At 42.8% G+C, this 20,537-nt stretch overlaps 1 protein-coding gene and 1 long non-coding RNA gene across 9 annotated transcripts in view, besides 2 other annotated features; one reads left to right on the top strand and one right to left on the bottom strand.

Annotated features, from left to right (window-relative positions):
• Positions 1–20,537, bottom strand: part of CCDC60 (coiled-coil domain containing 60) — a 206,312-nt gene that overhangs the window by 102,077 nt on the left and 83,698 nt on the right. For all 5 annotated transcript variants that reach the window (NM_178499.5, XM_017018912.3, XM_017018913.3 and 2 more), the window contains exon 2: positions 10,202–10,281. In NM_178499.5, coding sequence (NP_848594.2) covers positions 10,202–10,281 — 80 coding nt within the window. The remainder of the gene's footprint in view (positions 1–10,201; positions 10,282–20,537) is intronic.
• Positions 1–20,537, top strand: part of PRKAB1-AS1 (PRKAB1, TMEM233 and CCDC60 antisense RNA 1) — a 280,141-nt gene that overhangs the window by 229,164 nt on the left and 30,440 nt on the right. The gene's annotated exons all lie outside the window — the stretch shown is intronic.
• Positions 15,229–15,749: an enhancer, noted in NCBI's record as "NANOG hESC enhancer chr12:119861020-119861540 (GRCh37/hg19 assembly coordinates)". NCBI's record gives its function as "activates a minimal SCP1, AML or CMV promoter by ChIP-STARR-seq in primed H9 embryonic stem cells {active_cell/tissue: H9 hESC(primed)}" and the evidence as "EXISTENCE:reporter gene assay evidence [ECO:0000049][PMID:30033119]".
• Positions 15,346–15,640: an enhancer, noted in NCBI's record as "tiled region #763; HepG2 Activating non-DNase unmatched - State 24:Quies, and K562 Activating non-DNase unmatched - State 24:Quies". NCBI's record gives its function as "activates a minimal TATA promoter and a strong SV40 promoter by Sharpr-MPRA in HepG2 and K562 cells {active_cell/tissue: HepG2 | K562}" and the evidence as "EXISTENCE:reporter gene assay evidence [ECO:0000049][PMID:27701403]".

Below are 20,537 nucleotides of genomic sequence, written 5' to 3'. Positions count from 1 at the left end.
CTCATCTCTGTTCTCCAGGCATTGTAGGATCTAAGAAAGGGAAGCAGAACGGGGGTTTTTATGTACATTATCTCATTCTGTCCTTATTCAGACACAAAAATCCCTGTAGGAAGGCACAGTCCCATCCCAAGAGGAGAAACTAAGGCTCAGAGAGGTGAAATGACCAGCCCAAGGTCACCCAGCTGACAGGAGTCTGGTTGAGTCTCTCTGTCTGCATAGCTCATGTTCTTTGTTGCCACCCATGAATATTTTCAGATACTTTCAAGACAGCTAGCATAAAAAAGACAGTGACTTCCTTTTATTGGTCTAGTCATATATTCCTCATCCATATTGTTCTCAAAAATCCCAACAGTAGTGTGGAATAGATCTTGTTATCTCTCTCTCCCATAACATAGATAAAGTAACTGAGGTCTAGAGAAGTGAATTCATTTGTGTACAGCCACCCAGCTAATAACTGGAAGAGTTAGGATTTGAACCCACAGCTGACTCCAATGCCAGAAGACTTTTGACTATGCTCTGTGAGCCTGCCAAGCCTGGCTATAAAACTGAGCACATTGCTTGTCATCTGGAAAAGAATTTTGGAAAACAAAGTTTTGTGCAAAGCCCTGTGTAACAAAAGGTTCAGAAGTTCAAAATATTTTTGATGGTTAAATTTGAAAGCATGGTCTTCTAGTTAAATTCTCTTTTACTGGGGTCTCCAAGGCAGACTTTGACACAAGGAAAGGAATAAAAAAGATATTTACCCTCAGGAGAGAGTAGTGTAAGAAAGGCAGAGAAAAAAAACTCACCCTAAAACTATGGTTAACTACAGGTGTCAAAGATACATGAAGATACCAGAAACAGAGAAAAATAGGTAGGGCCTCTGGGTCACATCCAAGATGATAAAACCGCAATTAACTTGAGACAGGTCCCTCCAACCCATAGCAGCAACCTACCCATGGGGTGTGCAGTTGTGTTTACCAGTTCTGGGCTAAGAACATGAGGTCAAGTGTTTGTCCTTATGGGACAAACTAGTGACTCGTTAATGGCCACTTGCTGTCTGCAGGGTGTGAGGAAGATGTGACTCAAGAGGACTAAGGTCTTCTTTGAATGATTCACAAGATACATTTCAGAAGCCTTAACCATGCCTGCTTCCAAGATATTGAACAACTTATAAATCCATGATCTTAAACAATCCTGGGGCTTTGAGGCAAGGTCTCAAGTCTAGGGGAGGGAATGGTGGGAAGAACCAGGGTTGAACTTCTAAATGAAGTTCTGGGCTACTGGCTATGGATGTGCGCATCCTGAGTGTTGAACGATGAGATGCAGAAGCGACTGAGAGCGGTCAGTAAATGCCTGAGATCAACAATAATTTTTCCAACTACTTAAATTCACTTAAAAGCAGCCTCATTCATAAAGGGATTTGGGTGAGGTCTGTTCCTCCTGCTGGTCCCTCATACTCCAAGCCTCAATTTGAGTTAATAAGATGCCACTATAGATATCAAAGTTTCCTTTTGAGATTTCTAATTTGGAGATGACAAAGAAATTAAATCCCATGTAACCATTCTACTCCATGGTGGTAGCTGCCTGGAATGCTAGGCTGAGAAGGTTTTTAGAAAATCTGGGTTCGAATAAAAGAGTGCTGTGATCCATTAGCGATGTCTGCCCTGGGCACAGGAGAGAGAAGTGGGGTACATGTGCCACATGACTGTCATCGAACTTGCATTGTTTCAATGCAATTATTAGTTTTTTCCCTTCTTATTTCAAAAAAAGTTAGGAGAAGCTCACCCTACCTGCCAGCCAAGACACAAACCATATCTCAAAGTGACCATGATTAACACTATTAAACACTATTAATGCAAAAAGAAGCCCAAGAAATAGGGCTGGTGGGATGATAAAAGTGCCACATGTCTTCTTGATTTCTCTGCACTTTATGAACAAGGAAATCATTTTTGTTGGGCTCCTTGGTTGGCAAACTAGCCTACTGGAGAGGTGATTATTTTAAGAGTACATAATGGAGTCATAAGGGATATGAAAGGTCTCATGGAAATCCAAGATCAGAAATTCACAGAGAGAAGAACTGGAGATTTTCTATAGAAGATAGCTTCAGGGACCTGAGTAATGCAGTTAAAAGTATTGGTATCACTCGGCCGGGCACAGTGGCTCATGCCTGTAATCCCAGCACTCTGGGAGGCCGAGGCAGGTAGATCACCTGAGGTCAGGAGTTCAAGACCAGCCTGGCCATGGTGAAACCCTATCTCTACTAAAAATACAAAAAATTAGCTGGGCAAGGTGGTGCACACCTGTAATCCCAGCTACTCGGGAGGCTGAGGCAGGAGAATCGCTTGAACCCGGGAGGCGGAGGTTGCAGTGAGCCGAGATCGTGCCATTGCACTCCAGCCTGGGCAACAGGAGAGAAACTCTGTCTCAAAAAAAAAAAAAAGTATTGGCATCACTCAAGGGGACTCGCTTGCTTCTCTTTGCTTGCTGTGTTCTCTAATTTCCTAGTTGGCTTCTTCTCCATCTTTCCTTAATTTAAAGCATCTGCTCACCTATAGTCATTGTTCCCTGGAACCTCTGGCTCCAAACAGCTCACCATGGACCCTCTGGCATCCCTTTCTCTTAGTGTTTCAACCTCTGTGCCCACTGCTGTCTGCTTAAATGATGTGCTTTCCACTTTACATTCCCAAGAGTGAGACTCTGATTTGTACAGATTATCTAATGATGCTAGCTCATGTCTCCAAGGCCAGTGCAGAATTAGCTGTATGATTGTGGTAGACTGAAAAAATGGACCCAAATCTCCATCATTTGTAGTGTGAATTTGCAGCTGTTCCCGCTGAGAAGTAGAATCTATTTTTCCACCTTTAACTTGGTCTGGATTTGTGACTTGCTTTGGCCACAAGAATATGGCAGAAGTGACATTTTGCCAGTTCCTAACTTAAAGCTCAAAAGATCTCACATACTTTCATTCTTTCTTAGGACTACAAGTCCTAGCTGACCTATTTGAGAGCAAGAGACCATGTTGTTCTGCCCAAGACTATCCTAGACCTGCCTAGAGCCAGCTGACCTCCAAACATATGAGAGAATCCAGCCAAGATCAGCAAAACCACCTCCCTGATCCTCAGCTGATTACAGGTGCACAAGGGAGCCCATCTGAGGCTGGAGAACCTCCCAGTGGAACCATAGCCTCATAATCACTAATAAATGCTCATTGTTTTAAGTTACTGAGTTTTGGGGGTAGTTTGTTATGCAGCAACAGCTGACCGATACAATGACTTTGAGTAGATCTCTGAACTTCTCTGAATCTTAATTTTCTCATTTGAGGAATTAATCAACAAGACTTTTCCTGCCTGCCTCGGGGAAGATTGTAAGATGCTATGTAAATATAAACTTCAGAATATTTACTTAGTGCCCACTCTGTGCCAAGCACTGAGCTAGACCCTGGGGATTTGCAAGACAGGTTAATTCTTTTGTAGGGCAACATTACTACCTCCTCCTTCCAGCCATAGACCAGTCATCGATAAGTCAAAGTGGACACTCCTGTTTGAATGGCAGTGGAAAAGGCAGAAGTTATCAGGCTCACCTGGAAGGCCTAAAGCAATGGGCTAGCTATCTTATCTCTTGATTAACCCACAGTTTAATTTATAAGCCCCCTCACTTATTCACTTTCCCTACTAAGCTAATAAGCCTTCCCCCTTATTTCAACTGATAAATTCTAGAGATGGACAAGATAATTAATTCATCCCATCAATAAACACTTTCTTGGGACCATGACAGTGGACATGACATGGTGCCTACTGTGAGATCGCTCACATGCTAGTGTGAGAGATGGAAACAGGTCATTGTAGAATGTGGATGCACAATGCAGCCTTTTCCTTAGGCTCCCACATCCAATCCATTAGCCAGTCCTGTGGCTCTACCTCCAAAGGAATCCTGAATCCATCCACTTCTCCCCAGTTCACTGCTGTTTCCCTCATTGAAGCCATTGTCATCTTTCACCATAGCCTCTATGCAGTGGATGTGATGCTCTTTTAAAAAATCAGATTATATCCATCTCTTGCTCAGAATGCTCCTGTGGTTCTTGTGGCACTTAGATTCAAACCCATACTTTTCATCGCAGCCTACAAGGCAGCGTGTGGGCTGAGCCAGCTCTTACCCAACTCTTCAATTTTATCTCTTGTCTCTCTTATCCTCTCTCACTCTGCTCTGGCCACCCAGCTCACCTCAGTTCTTCCAGCATTTCCAGCTTGTTCTGACTTTGGTACCCATTCATTTATTGTTCTCTGAAATACACCACCTTTCACCCTGCTATGTCTTTATTGGGATGGTTCTTTCTCACTATTCAGGTATTGGGCCCAGGGTTCCCTTTATAAACAACTCTTGTCTGATGGCTGTAGCTAAAGCAGCAGCTTCTTCAACACCACTATTTATACATCACCTGGTTTTAGATCCCCACCTTCAAATTCTGCTTATTTACTTGTTAATTTGATTGTTGTTTTTACCTCATTATAATGCAAGTCGTCATCTCTTATTCATCAAAGACAGGAGTCTTGTCTGTTTTGTTCATCTCCAATATATACAGCAATGCCTGGTGTACACCTGGTGATATCTCATACTCAATAAACATTTGTCAAAAAAAAATGAATGAGTACAGAGGGCTAAAGAAGTACCAAGAAGAAGTGCCTAACCCCCCTGCCAAAAAAAAAGAATAGCTTCTTTCTCTGCCCCAAATTCCACCTTTGTTATTTCTAATTACTTTGCTTCAGCTGTCTACCAAACACAGCTGGAAAGCAAAGTCTCAGACCCCTTAAACACGTGCATCACCTGGACCCTGCTGGGGGTAGGGGAGAGTGGATAATTCATCATTGTTTATTTGCAATTGCCTGGACCTAACTAAACTTTGCCAATCACGGCTTCATGTTCAACATTGCAGTTGTTTTCACTGCAGAGATGTTTATTTTCCTTAAAACATTCACAATAAAAAGCGCTGGCACCTTTGCAGGAAGGTACGTCATCGCACTTCAAGAGTCAGCCAAGAACTGGGCACATGCAAAGAGACCCTGATTGTCAACTTCCGCTAGAAATTCACCAAGTTTGTGCCTAGGGTGCTGCTTAGTGCCACTGAACATCTGACGGAACAGGCGAGGAGGAAAGCAGTTAGAATCTTATTCTTTTTAGCATCAGGTTAAATTGGCCATGAAACCAGGGACGGTGCCATTGAATTACAAGAGGGCTAAAATATTAAACAAAAATCCAAGAGACAGTAAAATAGTTTGGCTCAAGGTGAGCTAGTCTCCAACAGGAGGGGAAACAAAGTTAAGAAACAATGGATGGAAAAGTCAACATCATCTTTGTTAACAATTCGCCTCATTTAATACTGGGATATGGGGTCAGGGAGTTTGTGCCACTTGGAGAGATGACTTCCCTTGGAAAACATGGTGTTTCCTTCTGAAGGGGAATCCTGATTCCTTCCTTAATGTTGGTGGGATCCAGAAGTGTGGCCAGATGGAACATCTCATTGTCGTTTCTTTCTTGCTTGCTTGTGGCTTCTCTGTTTGGCCTTTTCCCCATTCTCCTTTGTGTCCGGCAGTGGGAGAGGCTAAGGGTGTCCGAGCAGAACGTTAAATCTCAGCTTTAACATTTAATGCGTCTGTTGGGAGTGACAGACTCAGCTGACCAACTGAAGAGTGGCAGAACAACTGTTGCCTGTATCACCTTTTATTAATAATTAATCCCCTCTATTCTACTGGGTCTGTGGGAAGTGGAACCTTTGTCGTTCTTGGGGCACGTCCCCCGTGGTGTGCTGGTGAATGTTTAACAACTCTCTGTCGGGGGAACTGAGCCCTGATTTGTAGTGTTTGCTGATTTCCACGGTGCAAATATTGTCACCGTGGTGCAGATATTCCCACCAGTTGCTTTCGAGCTACCAAAGTGGTGACGTCAGTGAACACAGAGCTGGGAAGAGATTTGTTGTAGCACTCCTTATATACTATTTCCACCACATAGATACTACAACCATTGATAGCCTCTAGGGCATAGAGATTAGCAAACTGTATAAAACAATTAGGAAGGTATGAGTTCTAAGTATTTATTACCTGTGCTTTAATAGAATTTATTTAATTGTACTTAATTGTAAATTCATGTAATTAATTTCTAATAATAGCTGTGTTTAACGATCGGTTTGCAATTATAGATATACATTTATATAATTAATCTTTAACAATAGCTGTGTTTAATAATTGGTTCAATAATTTTCCACTGAAAATTTAGCAGTGGGCTCTAGTTACAAGCTGGCAAGCCACTGCTTTGTCGCCCTCCTTAGGCTGAGTCAAGTCTAGGTCAAGGCATCTATTGGCGTCTATCTCATCAACAGCCATTTGTCTACAGTGTACAGATTCTTGTGGAGACCCTCATTCCTCAGGCTCTAGAGATTCTGACATGTCTTTGCATCTGGGGCTCTTAGTTGGCCTCATCTACCTGAAGGCTGATAATACTCAGCTAGTAAGAACTAACATGGTCATGATGGTTGGGTATGGCCAGTGTCTGTTATGACTGATTGATGCCCATGAAATTCTGTATTTGGAACCTCTCTTCTGATCCAACGTCCCTGCTGCACCATTCCTTGTGAAGCCTGGAACATCTCTGGGCAAAGCTGTGGAACAGAGTGCAATTCCCTTTTGGGAGGCTCATCCCTCGCCATGCCATCTTCTTTCTCAGCTGCCTGCCACAGTTGCTGTCCCTACTCAGATGGCTCTTGGCTTCTTGATCCTACATGTCACCAGTCCCTGGGGCTCCAAGGTTCCCAAGGCATCAGCCTCAAAAGCCCTCTAACTTGGGTTCAAACACTGTAGATGAAACTGTCATTGCAAAATTGTAACAGACAATGAAAGATATCTGACTTTTAACGAACTCCATCTTGCTTCTAACCTCCAAGCTGTCATTGTTCATTCCTGGGCGTAAGCTGAACTAACTTTGGAGGAACTTAGTTTATGGTTTAAAAACAAAGGGCCGGGCATGGTGGCTTACACCTGTAATCCCAGCACTTTGGGAGGCCGAGGCGGGCAGATCACCAGGTCAGGAGATCGAGATCATCCTGGCTAACGTGGTGAAACTCCGTCTCTACTAAAAATACAAAAAAATTAGCCAGGCGTGGTGGTGGGCTCCTGTAGTCCCAGCTACTCAGGAGGCTGAGGCAGGAGAATGGCGTGAACCCGGGAGGCGGAGGTTGCAGTGAGCTGAGACTGTGCCACTGCACGCCAGCCTGGGCAACAGAGCGAGACTCTGTCTCAAAACAAAAAACAAACAAACAAACAAACACAAACACAGAAAAACAAAAAACAATGACGATAACAGCCCTCTCTCAAAACAAACCTCCTTTTTGCCTGGGGACTAGATTGTCTTTGTAGGACTAAAAAACTAGCCAGAAGATTAGAAATTATGGTTTAGGAGTCATGCAGCTGGAGACTGCAAGATTCTGACCCTCCCTAAACCGCTTCTAAGATCAGTGCTTGAGATATTTTGCGGACCCTGTACTTGATGGATCAGCTGGCACCATGCAGACAGATAAACTGGCTCATCTAATCTTGTGGTCCCCACCCAAGAACTGACTCAGCACAAGAGAATAGCTTCAGTTCCCTGTGATTTCATCTCTGACCCAGCCAATCAGCACTCCTGACTCACTGGCCTTCCTCCACCCTCCAAATTATCCTTAAAAACTCTGACTCCCTTATGCTCGGGGATACTGATTTCAGTTATAATAAAACTTTAATCTCTCACACAGCCGGCTCTGCGTGAATTACTCTTTCTCTATTGCAATTCCCCTGTCTTGATAAATTGGCTCTGTCTAGGCAGCAGGCAAGGTGAACCCACTGGGCAGTTACAAATTCGGGTAAGGTGAATCCACTGGGCAGTTACAGAGAGGCCAGTATGTCTGAAACTAACAGAGGATCCTTGTGGCTCTAGGCCCTCAATTTGGAGATCCAAGTTCAAATGCTGCCTTTGAGCTCAGCTCTGCAAAGGAATATGAGACTGAGCCCTGCTGGCCTCTTTGAGCTGGATCATTCTCTGCAAGAACATCCCAGCATTGACTCTTATGTATTGTCTCTTACGTATTAGTCTGCTGGAGCCGCCCTAACAGAATACCACACCCTGAGCAGCTTAAACAACAGACATATATTTTCTCACAGTTCTAGAGGCTGGAAGCTGAAGGTGCAGGTGCCAGCAGGGTCGGTTTCTCCTGAGGTCTCTCTCCTAGGCTTGCAGATGGCTGAGTTCCTGCTATGTCCTCATGTGACTCATGTGACTTTTTTTTTTTTTTGGAGACAGAGTCTTGCTGTGTTGCCCAGGCTGGAGTGCAGTGGCATGATCTCGGCTCAAAGCAAGTTCCGCCTCCTGGGTTCACACTATTCTCCTGCCTCAGCCTCCCGAGTAGCTGGGACTACAGGCGCCCACCACCATGCCCGGCTAATTTTTTTATATTTTTAGTAGAGACAGGGTTGTACCATGTTAGCCAGGATGGTCTCGATTTCCTGACCTTGTGATCCGCCTGCCTTGGCCTCCCAAAGTGCTGGGATTACAGGCTTGAGCCACCACACCCAGTCTCATGTGACCTTTTCTCTGTGTGCTTATGCCTGATGTCGCTTCCTCTTTCACCAATCACATTGGATTAAGGCTCCACCCTTTGACTTCTTTTAGCCTTACTTGTTTCTTTAACGGTTGTATCTCCAAAAAAATTACATTGGGGCTTAGGGTTTCAACATATTAATATGTGTGTGTGTGTGTATGTGTGTGTGTGTGTGTGTGTGTGTGTGTATGTGTGGCAGGGGCACAATTTAGTCCATGACAATTACTGGGCACTTGAAATGTTACTGGTGCAAATTGACACGTGTTCTAAGTATGAAATACATCCCAGATCTTTCATCATTCATTATTTTTCATCCCTTCATTACTTTTCATCATGTATGAAAAAACATAATGAAAAGCATCTCATCAATACATTTTTAATACTGATTACATGTTGAATGATAATATTTTGGAGGTACTGAGTTAAAAATATTATTAGAATTACTTTCACCTGTTTCTATTTACTTTTTCTAGTGTGGCTACTCAGAAGCTTAAAATTACACACAAGGCTCAAATTATATTTCACTAGACAGTGTCTAGAGACCCTCCAATAGCTGACACAGCCACCCCCTGCAGTCAGTGGGGCACTCTCTTCACCTCTCCCCTAGGCCCTTTAACTCCTTTCCCTTCCTCTACCTTCCAGGAGTCCTCCTGGGCTCAGTCATCAGTTCCATGAAGTTGTGCTGCTGGATGGGGCAGGGTGGAGATTCCGGTAGTGGTGGAGAAGGGTGGCTTTCAGAAGATGGAGGTGAAGGGAGAGGGTGTCTCACTTTGCCTCTCACTGCATCTGGCTCAGAGTGGGAGATGTCTAAGATCAATAGAACTTCCCCGCTACCTAGATTACCCCTCTCAGCACACATCTTACGTGTTTTGTGCTAAAAGAGTCTTCATCTCTTACTCTGTCTTGAGTTGCTTTACCAAAAGTCTCATTTTAGGATCCTACCTTGGGATGTTCCAGGTCTCAGGAAACAGTTAAGGGGTAAGGGAAAAAAATTCCATCTCACTAGACAGAGATGGCTGAAACATGGTCCTGGGCCTCAGTCATCAGGGAGGAAAGGAATAGGGAGTGAGGAGAGGAAAGATAGGAACAGCCCTGTATTCAAGGCCATATGAGGGACACTTTATCTGCTTTATTTCCCTCGGTTCTTCTAACAACCTCCTATTATTCTCATTTTACAGATAGGGAAAAAGAGTCCCAGAGAGTTTAAATAACTCCTCCAGCATCCCAGCTAGCAGGTAACAGGACCAGAATTTGAGAACGACTCTGACTCCACGGTATCATCACGTGTGTCTGGAGTAAAAAAGGGAAGGTTTTCTGGAGCATGGGGACACTCTCTTGAGTTGGATTCAGGTCCAGGAAGAAAAGCAGAGGGAATTCTAGGCGGCTGGAGGCTGGCATGGCATGGGTACTCCCTGGAAAGTCCAGCTGAGAAAGCGATCCTGCCCTCTGCTCCTCCCAGGGTTACCCTCCTGTAAGTCTTCTGCTTAGTGTTCAGAATTGGGGGATGCTGGGACTGGGCAAGGACTTGTAGGCAACACCCCATAGCCTGCTCATGCCTGTTGGGTTGTCTATGGATCATTCCCTGCTGGGCTCACTCACCGGCTTCGTATAAGGTCCTTTTTGAGGTTTATTATTTCCTTGTCCATATACTTGATGCTCTTCATTGGCTTGTCTGGGACCTGATGAGAAGACAAGGGGTTAAAATAAAAGGAGTGTTAATACAATGCTTCCAAATGGAGATAGGCACAGGAGGCTCATGGGTTTCTCTGAGATGTATGGCTAGGTTTAAGGAGTCCTGGGCAGCACAGAGTCTACCTTGACACCAAAGAGGGGGCTGCTGTGTGATACAGTGGACATGGTAAGGGTTTTGGAGACAGATGGACCTGAGCCCTGACCCTGGTTCTGTCTGGTGACCAGCTGTGTGACCTTGAACAAATTACTCAACCTCTCTGAAGAATTTGGGCCTCAATTTCTTCAGTAGAATGGGGAATCACTCCTACTCTGTTCTGAGGATTAAATTAATTGCTAAATTCCTCACTGATAGCAAGCATTAGATAAATGGAAGCTACTACTATAAGCATTACACTTTAGAGCAAAAAATTAGGCATTAAAAATAATTATTATTGGTGGTTTTAGCAGTTGATTTGGAGAGCTGAATCTTGTCAATGTAAAGATGCAAATGTACTTCCCCTCTCTTCCTGCTCCCATAGCGGAGGTTTATGAATGAATTATCCAGATAATTGTTCGTGGGTTTTTCTTTCTCCCTATTAATTTGCCTTGTCTATACCTAGGGGAAATCTCACATTACTCAGAAGTTGATACATGCTCAATATAAAGAAGAGAGATAAATTAACTATATTATATTTTTATTTATTTTTTTTAGAGACAGGATCACACTGTCACTGAGGCTGGAGTGCAGCTCACTGCAGCCTCGAGCTCCTCGGCCCAAGTGATCCTCTTGCTTCAGTCTCCCAAGTAAGGTTAGGATTACAGGTTCAAGCCATCATACTTGGCAAATTATATTTTAGTATAAAAGTCATTTTTCTCAACCTGCAGTTTGGAGAAACAATAATCAGAATATTACCTAGATTATCTTGTCTTGAAATTTTCCTGCACCTTAGGATTTTTTTTAAATAAAAAAATACTTAGAAATTATGGGAAAATGGGTGCTCTCAGATAAATCTGGTAAATACTTTGTGCTGGCATTTCAGAAGGGCAATTCTCAATGCATACCAGATGCTTTAGAAATGAGCATGTCCTTAGATCCAACAACTCTGCTGTCAAGAATCCTAAGGAAATATCCTTTCATGGACATAGAGATTCATCAACAAAACTGTTCACCAGCATGCTGCTTGTAATAGCAAACTATTGGAAAACAACTTTACATCTCACAATAGAAGACAGGTTAAATAATTATGGTGTATCTACACAATGGAATACAATGCAGCAATTAAGTATAACGGCAACATAATGTAAGTATGTTTATTGATATATAAAGATGTTTGATTTTTTTGAGTCAAAAGACATGTTACAAAGTAATATTTATAGCATGATTCTATTTTGGTTTTTGAAAAATGATCTGTGTGGATATACACATATCAAAGATATGAAATGACATAGCTCCAAAATGCAGTGATTTTCTCTGGGGGTGAGATTATGGCAGGTTTTATTTCTTTTTCTTAGCTGATGTGCATTTCCTATAACTTTGCAATAAATATTAATTAGTTACATAATGAAAGAGAAAAGATTTAAAAAGTAAACAGCAAAGTGAAATTTGACAAAGGCTGGTTGGTAGTATTGTACTGAGAGTGTTTTTTGAAGGCAGGGTGAGAACAGGTTGGCTGCTCACTAACAGAAATCCCAATATTGATGTGTGGGAGGAGGCAAAGTGTTTTCTCTGCAGTCACCATCAATGAAATTGGGCTATGGTGCCTACTGCTCTGAGGCTTTGAAGTGTAAAGTGAAAGTTGAAAAGCATTGTTGTTTCAAAGTTGAATGATGCTTGTGGAAGAGTTGGGTGGGAGGCAGAGTGGGAGATGAAGTGGAGGAAGGAACTGCTTCTGGCCTGCTTGATTCCATTTTTCTCCTGGGTTGGCCAATACATGTTCCCATGTAAGGCAGCACAGATGAAGGGTGAAGAGTCTATGGCAATTCTACAAAGTATTTGTAACTGCAGCTATTACTTGCCCACTTGACAAAGTGGGGCCAGGCGCAGTGGCTCATGTCCGTAATCCTAGGATTTTGGGAGGTTGAGGCGGGAGGATGGCTTGAGCTCAGGAATTTGAGACCAGACAGGGCAACATGACAAAACCCTGTCTCTACAAAAAATACAAAAAAATTAGCCAAGCATGTGTGGTGCATGCCTGTAATCCCAGCTGCTCAGGAAGCTGAGGTAGGAGGATCGCTTGAGCCCAAGAGGTCAAGGCTGCTGTCACCTGAGATCGCGCCACTGCAGTGCAGCCTGGTGACAGAGCGAGACCCTCTCTCAAAAAAACAAAACAAAACAAAAATAAATAAAAATAAAAGAAAAAAGAAAAGAAAGCAAAACATAAAGGATGCAAAACAAAACAAAACATATGGATGGCTTTGAATCAGGCCAATTGGATAGGAAACAATGAAATAATTTAAAAACTGTCTCTTTGGCTATTCTTAGTAATGAATTACAGGTACTTTATCTTGCTCATTTCAGTATACCAGGGGGCCTCAACCCCTTGGCTGGAAATTGATGGCAGACCCATCAGTGTTCATCTTGAGGGATGGGTGAAGCGGGTGGAGAGACCACCCTCTGATGAGGCATGTAAGGAACTCTAGGAGTACTTTCCCATGCTTTTGCATAATGAACATTCGTTTGTCTCACACATACAACATCTGTTCACCCTCCCTGTTGATACCAGTTAGTTCCCTGGTTAGGCCCTTTGCCTTTCCTTCACTCAGCACTTGCATCTTGGGAGATGCTCATGGTTACCAGCAGCAGGGGAGGCCCTGAATGACTGAAGCCAAACAGCACAAACCATCCCCTGTCAAAGTGGTTAGTTTATGGATGGTCATGTGACCCAGTTTGGGCAAATGAGATGCAAGCATTTTCTAGGGGCTTCTGAGAAGCACAGGCAGAGATGTTCTCTTTCCTTACTGACTAGAAATGGGGAAGCAGAGAGCCCCTGCGAGTTGCTTGCAGCCATTTCGTGCCCATGAGGGTAGCCAGCCTTGGGCAAAGATGATATGGAGGAAAGGCAGAGAAGAGAGTCAGAGAAAAACTCGTTCCACGGTGCCTTGTTGAACTGATCAAGCTTCACTGGAATCTTGACTTTTCATGAACATTTCCTTTATTATTTATAACAGCTTAAATTAGGTTTTCTGTTACCTGCAGCCACAAAATTCTATCTGAAATACATCCCTCTCTTGGGAGTGGCAAAACAGCTAAGAGACTGAGACTTCTTTTAACTAGTTCTTTTTCTTTTCCCAACACTGCTTTTGAGGTATCAAGATCAGATGACCCCCATTCTGGTGTATTTTATAGTGAAAGCAATGAGATTGGCCATGTTGAGATCAAATATTTGAAAACAAGGTTGCCTGTCTTTCTAATCCCACTTATTTTGGAGAACCTCATTATATATTTCCTGCAGGCCCAAAGTAACTTTCCAAAAAGATGCTGTGAACTAAGCATATTTATAAATGAAGGAAAAATAAGCACATCAGAAATTTTCCTGCCAGATAATTTGAAAACACATGATTGAAACCCTGTTTTATGCCACGGTCATGTCTGTACCACTCTCCTAAACATCCTAAATTTTACCTTCTTCATGAAACAACTATGATAATGTCCAACATTCAAGCATTTTTTTTTTCAAATGTCACCTAATGATAGCTGCCTGTGCACCAGGAATTCACATCATTGTGTAAGAGTGGATTTGTATTGACTGGGATTGGTACTGAATTGCGTCCTCAACTTGACACCGACTTTAGCAGCATGAGATGCACGCACCCCCAAGCCTCACAACTATGTCAGCATTTCAATGGATTCTCAGGAAACCATTTCTGTCAAAGTATAATTTTATAATTATAAAGGTAGGTTTATGATTATAACTTTATAATTATAGTTTTGTTTAATTAAAATTATAATAAGCCAGCAGAAATAACTAGTTCTCAGGACATTTACAAACATCATTTGATATTAAGTGAAAAATAATAAGTTAAATTAAAAGTTAATAAGTTAAATAAGTTAAATAGTAGATTAAAAAGTTTATAAAACATTCAAAAATCACTCTCTCTACAACCTTTCTAGAGGGCAATTTAGACATATGTGTGACAAGCTTTAGAAATACATATCCTCTTGCCCCAGCCAAGGAAATTATGTCGCCAGGATGAAGAGATTTATCCCCGAGGATGTTTATCACAGCAGTGTGAATAATAGTGAAAAATACCTAAATGTCCCACCATAGGCATTGTGGGGATAAATCATGGTCTATCCAGACAGTGGTATGTGATGCATTTGAGTCTTGGTGCTACCACTTAGTGCTGCTATGGCTGTTTATTCACTAATGTGGAAAGGTGGTAATGGAATGTAATTTCAGATGAAAATGCATGCTACAAAACGTAAAGATAGTAGATCATAGAGAAGCTCTAAGATTTATGCTTATAAAATCTATAGACATTTCCAGAAATGTATGTGATCTGATACAAATTAGGTTTTAAAATATTGACATATGACAAGGCATATATGTACTAATATAACAAGCTGGAAGTAAATACAATAAATTGTTAATAGAGATGTTATCTCAGGGCATTTGAATTATAGGCAATTAAACGATAATTTTTTGTTTTGGTTATCTTTTTTCCTAATTTTTCTACAATTCACATAGATTAATTTTAATAAAATAATAGCGTTTTTCATGTTTGTAAAGCAATTTTGACTAATTCTCTCAAGGCAGGCAAAGTAGAAATGTTTAATGCCAATTTAAATTGAGTCATCTAAGAGTCTGGAATGATGTAAGCTAATAGTTTATTTTAACATACTGGATCAGGCAGGGTCTAGGCAGGAAATCAGAACTCATGACAGGTAGTTCAACAAAGGGAATTTAATACAGGGGAGTGGTTACAAAGGTGCTGGAAGAGCTCAAAAGTCACATAAGGAATGATGAGGCAAGCTAGAGATTAGCAAAAGGAAACCTCTACCATCTCCAGGGCTGGAGGAATTAAGGGAAGAAGAGGTGGCCTTCAGAAGCCCTGGAATAGGGCCACTTGGCATAAGCTAGACTCATGGAGGAGATGTAGTTTTAGCTAGAGGTGCCACCATAAGCCGAATGAGAGAAGGGATGAAATGCCCTGGCTTCTGCTTAACTCTCACCCTTCAGTTCCTGATGGTGCCTGCTATTGGCTGAACCTACTTGGAAGCCAGCTGCAAGGGCCCCTGGGAAATGTAGTTTGCAAGGATCAGCCCCCGGTGGGAGCAGGAAATGGAAATGAGAGTGAAAGCAAGTAATTATGGGTACACCTTATGCAAATGTCTTGGCCCCAGGCCACTTTGGGACTATAAAGCAGGTCCTCCCCTTAAGTTAATCAAGGATCCCTTTACAGATGATAACTTTGGATACTCCTTTTGATCTTATGCCTGAGGTTCCCAGAGTTTTCCATGGCTAAAATGCATATCCAGAATTGTGGTCATGCGCCTCGCCCCCCCAAAAATTGTCATAAATCACGATTCTAGGGTATTCAGAACCCTCCTACTTCTCCAAATTTCTCCAGATCTTTGTAGATCAACTCCCTTCCCATCAAAACTTACCTGCTCTACTTCCCATACTGTTAGGTCTTTATACTCCTTGCTGACACTCATTCATGTGTCTCCCTACCCCGGTAACATATTTGTAATACAACCTCATATTTAATATTTTAATCTGGTTTTGACATTAATGAACATTGTGTTATGTTGTGTTGGTGCAAAAGTAATTGCAGTTTTTGCCATTGAAATTCACTTGCCATTGAATGAATGCCGAAAATTCATTTGCCATTAAAATGGCAAAAACCGTAATTAGTTTTGCACCAACCTAATAGAAAATCAGGAAAAGATAAAAAAAATTAGGAGAAAATAAAAACCAAGCAAAACCCCATCACCATCTGATACGGTTTGGATCTGTGTCTCCACCCAAATCTCATGTTGAAATGTAATTCCTAATGCTGGAGGTGGGTCCTTGTGGGAGGTGATTGGATCATGGGGGTGGTTTCTCATGGGTTAACACCATGCCCCCTTGGTGCTGTCCTTTCAATAGTGATTTCTTGTGAGATCTGGTTGTTTAAAAGTTTGTGGCACCTCCCCCATCTCCCTCTTGGTCCTGCTCCTGCCATGTAAGACGCCTGCTCACACTTTGCCTTCTGCCATGAGTAAAAGCTCCCTGAGGCCTCCCCAGGACCAGATGCCAGCATCATGCTTCCTGTGCAGCCTGCGAAACTGTGAGCCAATTAAACCTCTTTTCTGTATAAATTACCCAGTCTCAGGTATTTCTTTGGAGCAGTGTGAGAATGGACTAATACACCGTCTCTGCAGATATCCTTTGTTTGGTGCTCTGTGATGACTCCCAACCTGGTTGCATAAAAGCCATCTTGGGGACAGTTGATTTTGATTTTCTGTCTTTGCTTCCCTTGGATGTGCCATTGGCTTCAGAGCTTTCAGTGTTTCCATTGCTCTGCAGAGCACCGGTGATGACTCCGTTCTTTGTTTCCTAGAAAACAAAGTCAAGTCTCTGCCCTGCCCACCTTTCCTACAGCATGTGTGAACAGCATCCTTTCTCTTATCGACCCAATGAGTTTTTGAGAGCAAGATCGTCAGAAACACCATGTGATGTCGTGTAATGTACCAGGTTAAAAGGTGGTAAATGGAGGTGGGGTTCTGGGAGGGATGGAGCACGCATGGACTAACAGTGGACTCTTAGATGGGGATGGTTTTCTTGGCAGATATACTCACATTTAATATTCATGTGCTGGGGCTGTTTAAATAGTAGCATCGGGAAGTGGTGTGGTTTAACCTGACAGCTGAGAAGTGAAGTGTGGCAAGAATGGATGGAAAGACGTTTGCTGTCAGAAAGACCTAGGTTTGAGTCCTGGCCCTGTCACTCAGGAGTTCAGTGACCTTGAGTGAGGTAACTTTACTCCCCAGTCTCAGTTTCCCCATCTGTGAAATGGAACTAATGCCAGTCCTACCAGAACTAATGCCAATCCCCATCTGTGAAATGGGACTAATGCCAATCTCCTATGTGCTCTGCACTGTCCCAAGTGCATTCTTATATGAAATAGATGAGTCCATTGAGTCCTTGCCATATTATTATTCCCATTCTATAGGACAGCAAATAGAGGCTTAAAAAGGTGAAACTGACTTGCTATTAAGTGGCAAAGCCTGGATTTGAACTCATGGTCAAGTGACATTGACGACTGTGTTCTTATTCACTACTCCATTCTGCACCCCCATCCCACTTTGCCCTATTTTGCATAGTGGGAACTACCTGAGGGGTAGCGGTTGCTAGCTATTGATTTACAGATACTACCTCCAAAACTCTTCCACTGAATTTTGTTAGATTTCATCATAAAGAATTTAATATGGCAGAAAATCAGAATGATTTGTTGGAGGTCATGGCCGGAAAGCCAATTTTCTAAATATCTGTTGTTCTCTGTGTTTTATGAAAGAATGTTCTGAACTCATCTTTGTTATTCCTTAAAACATGATCTACTTCCTAGAATAAGATGAAGATGGAAGTGAATTCCTGTTAAATGTGCCCGGGCTGATACAGACATCAGGGAAACAGCTGGGATGCTCCGTCGAGGGGTGAGCGGGGAAGGGAGGCTGAAAAGACAGCACTGAGAAGCGAGCTTGCTGATTAACAAATTTCAGACTCATTATGGAGAAGCTGTAAAGAACAGAGTAGGCGGGATCATGGCAGGAGTACACACATGAACCCGGAGACCTTAGCTTGCACACGGATGTTTAAGTTTTTGGTGGTTTTAATATTTTATTTTTTATTTTTGTGGGTACATAATAAGTGCATATATTTACGGAATACATGAGTTGTTTTGATACAGGCATGTAATGTGAAATAAGCACATCATGGAGAATGGGGCATCTATCCCCTCAAGCATTTATCCTTTGAGTTACAAACAATCCAATTATACTCTTAGTCATTTAAAAAGTGAGTTATTATTGACTATAGTCAACCTGTTGTGCTATCAAATAGCAGGTCTTATTCATTCTTTCTATTTTTTTGGTACCCGTTAGCCATTCCCACCTTCTGCCCCCCATCCCCCACTATCCTTCCCAGCCTCTAATAACCATCCTTCTACTACCTATGTCCATTAGTTCAATTGTTTTGATTTGTAGATCCCACAAATAAGTGAGAACATGTGATGTTTGTCTTTCTGTGTCTGGCTTGTTTCACTTAACACACTTAACATAATGATCTCCAGTTCCATCCATGTTGTTGCAAATAACTGGATCTCACTCTTTTTTTTGTAGCTGAATAATACTCCATTTTGGTGGTTTTATGGTGTTGATAGGCAGTTCCTTTTGGGGAGAGTGAGGTATTTTTTTTGTCATAAGAATGTAAGATGTGTACCTACCCACATAGAGATACCCAGAATTAGTGACCTCATCCACACACAGATCCTTCAAACTGAAATAGGAAATATACTATAGAATTACTTAACAGGCCGGGCATGGTGGCTTATACCTGTAATCTCAGCACTTTGGGAGGCCGAGGCGGGTGGATCACGAGGTCAGGAGTTCGAGACCATCCCGGCTAACACGGTGAAACCCTATCTCTACTAAAAATACAAAAAATTACCCAGGTGTGGTGGTGGGTGCCTGTAGTCCCAGCTACTCGGGAGGCTGAGGCAGGAGAATGGCGTGAACCCAGGAGGCGGAGGTTGCAGTGAGCCGAGATCGTGCCACTGCACTCCAGCCTGGGGCGACAGAGCGAGACTCTGTCTCCAAAAAAAAAAAAAAAAAAAAAAAGAATTATTTAACATCTCTCCTTGTTGAAGACAGGTTGCATCTTTTATAGGAAATTTTGATTGTCAGGGAGAGGTGGTAGAAGGAGAGACTGTCATCTGGGGAGACGAGCAAGTCCTCTACTGAGAACTTAGGGGAGACAAAGCAGCAGGAGTCCTCTGGGAAGAAGAGGAGAAGGAACAATGATCCCTGGGAAGGAAGCTTCTGATACTCAGCACATGGTACAGGGCCTGGCTCTGCATTCTTTCTGTCATTGCTGAATGAATGAGAAGATGAATGCATCACAGTCTCAAGGTTTAACCCCACAGGTTAATGATTCGTTACAAAGGAAACGAGATACCCATATAACGGTGAGGTCTGGCGGACACCACTTTAACCATCATGGCTATGCTTAGCATCACCAATGACAGGACAAACTCTTATCAGGTGAACCTGAAGTGATGCACTGGGAAGGGCACAGCATCGCCTACATGGTTACATCACCTACATACATGTCCTGCCCCAGAGGTCCAATCTGAATCTAATCATGAGAAAGCAATCAGAAAAATAAAAAGTGAAGGTCATTTTACAAAATAGGTGATCTGGACTCTTAAAAGATGTCAATGTCTGTGTCTGTTGGGGCCTCTGGGAAGCAGACACGGAGAAAGGACTACAAAATGCTCATTGCGGGTAAGCCCATGAAAGAGAAAAGGAGGAGGAAGTGGGATTTGGCAGGGGAGCCCTAGACCATGATGCAGATCTGACAGAGTCCAGCCAATGCAACAGGGAGATCCAGAGCAAAGATTGCTTGATTGAGCCCAAGCACAAGGCAGAAATGGCCAGTGCCCACTGATGGGGAATTTCTGGGGAAGCTTCTGACTTCCGCTGCATGAAAGCTGCTGTGGATGCTGGCGGTGTCAACAGCTGGAGAGTCTCAGCTACCTGTGCCGCCTGCTGGCAAGTTCTTTCTTGGAGAGAAGTCCAAGGGATACACCTCTTTGTATTCTAACAATGTCATAAAAGAGGAAGAAGGCAGAAGATCTGTTTCTCTAGGACACCAAGGGGACACAACAACTAAATGAAATGCATGGTCCCTTGATTGAATGCTGGACTGGAGACAAGGCTATAAAGGGCATGACTGGGATAACTAGGGACATCTGCACATGAACTTTATGTTAGATAACAGCATTGGGGCTCACGCCTGTAATCCCAGCACTTTGGGAGGTTGAGGTGGGTGGATCACCTGAGGTCAGGAGTTGGAGACCAGCCTGACCAACATGGTGAAATCCTGTCTCTATTGAAAATACAAAAATTAGCTGGGCGTGGTGGCGTGCACCTGTAGTCCCAGCTACTCAGGAGGCTGAGGCAGGAGAATCACTTGACCCCAGGAGGCAGAGGCTGCAGTGAACTGAGATTGCGCCACTGCACTCCAGCCTGGGGAACAGAGTGAGACCCCATCTCAAAAAA

Source organism: Homo sapiens, chromosome 12, assembly GCF_000001405.40.
Source record: "Homo sapiens chromosome 12, GRCh38.p14 Primary Assembly".
Lineage (NCBI taxonomy): Eukaryota > Metazoa > Chordata > Mammalia > Primates > Hominidae > Homo > Homo sapiens.
The sequence above is the reverse complement of the archived record's forward strand: the minus strand, read 5'-3'. Positions and strand labels throughout refer to the sequence as shown.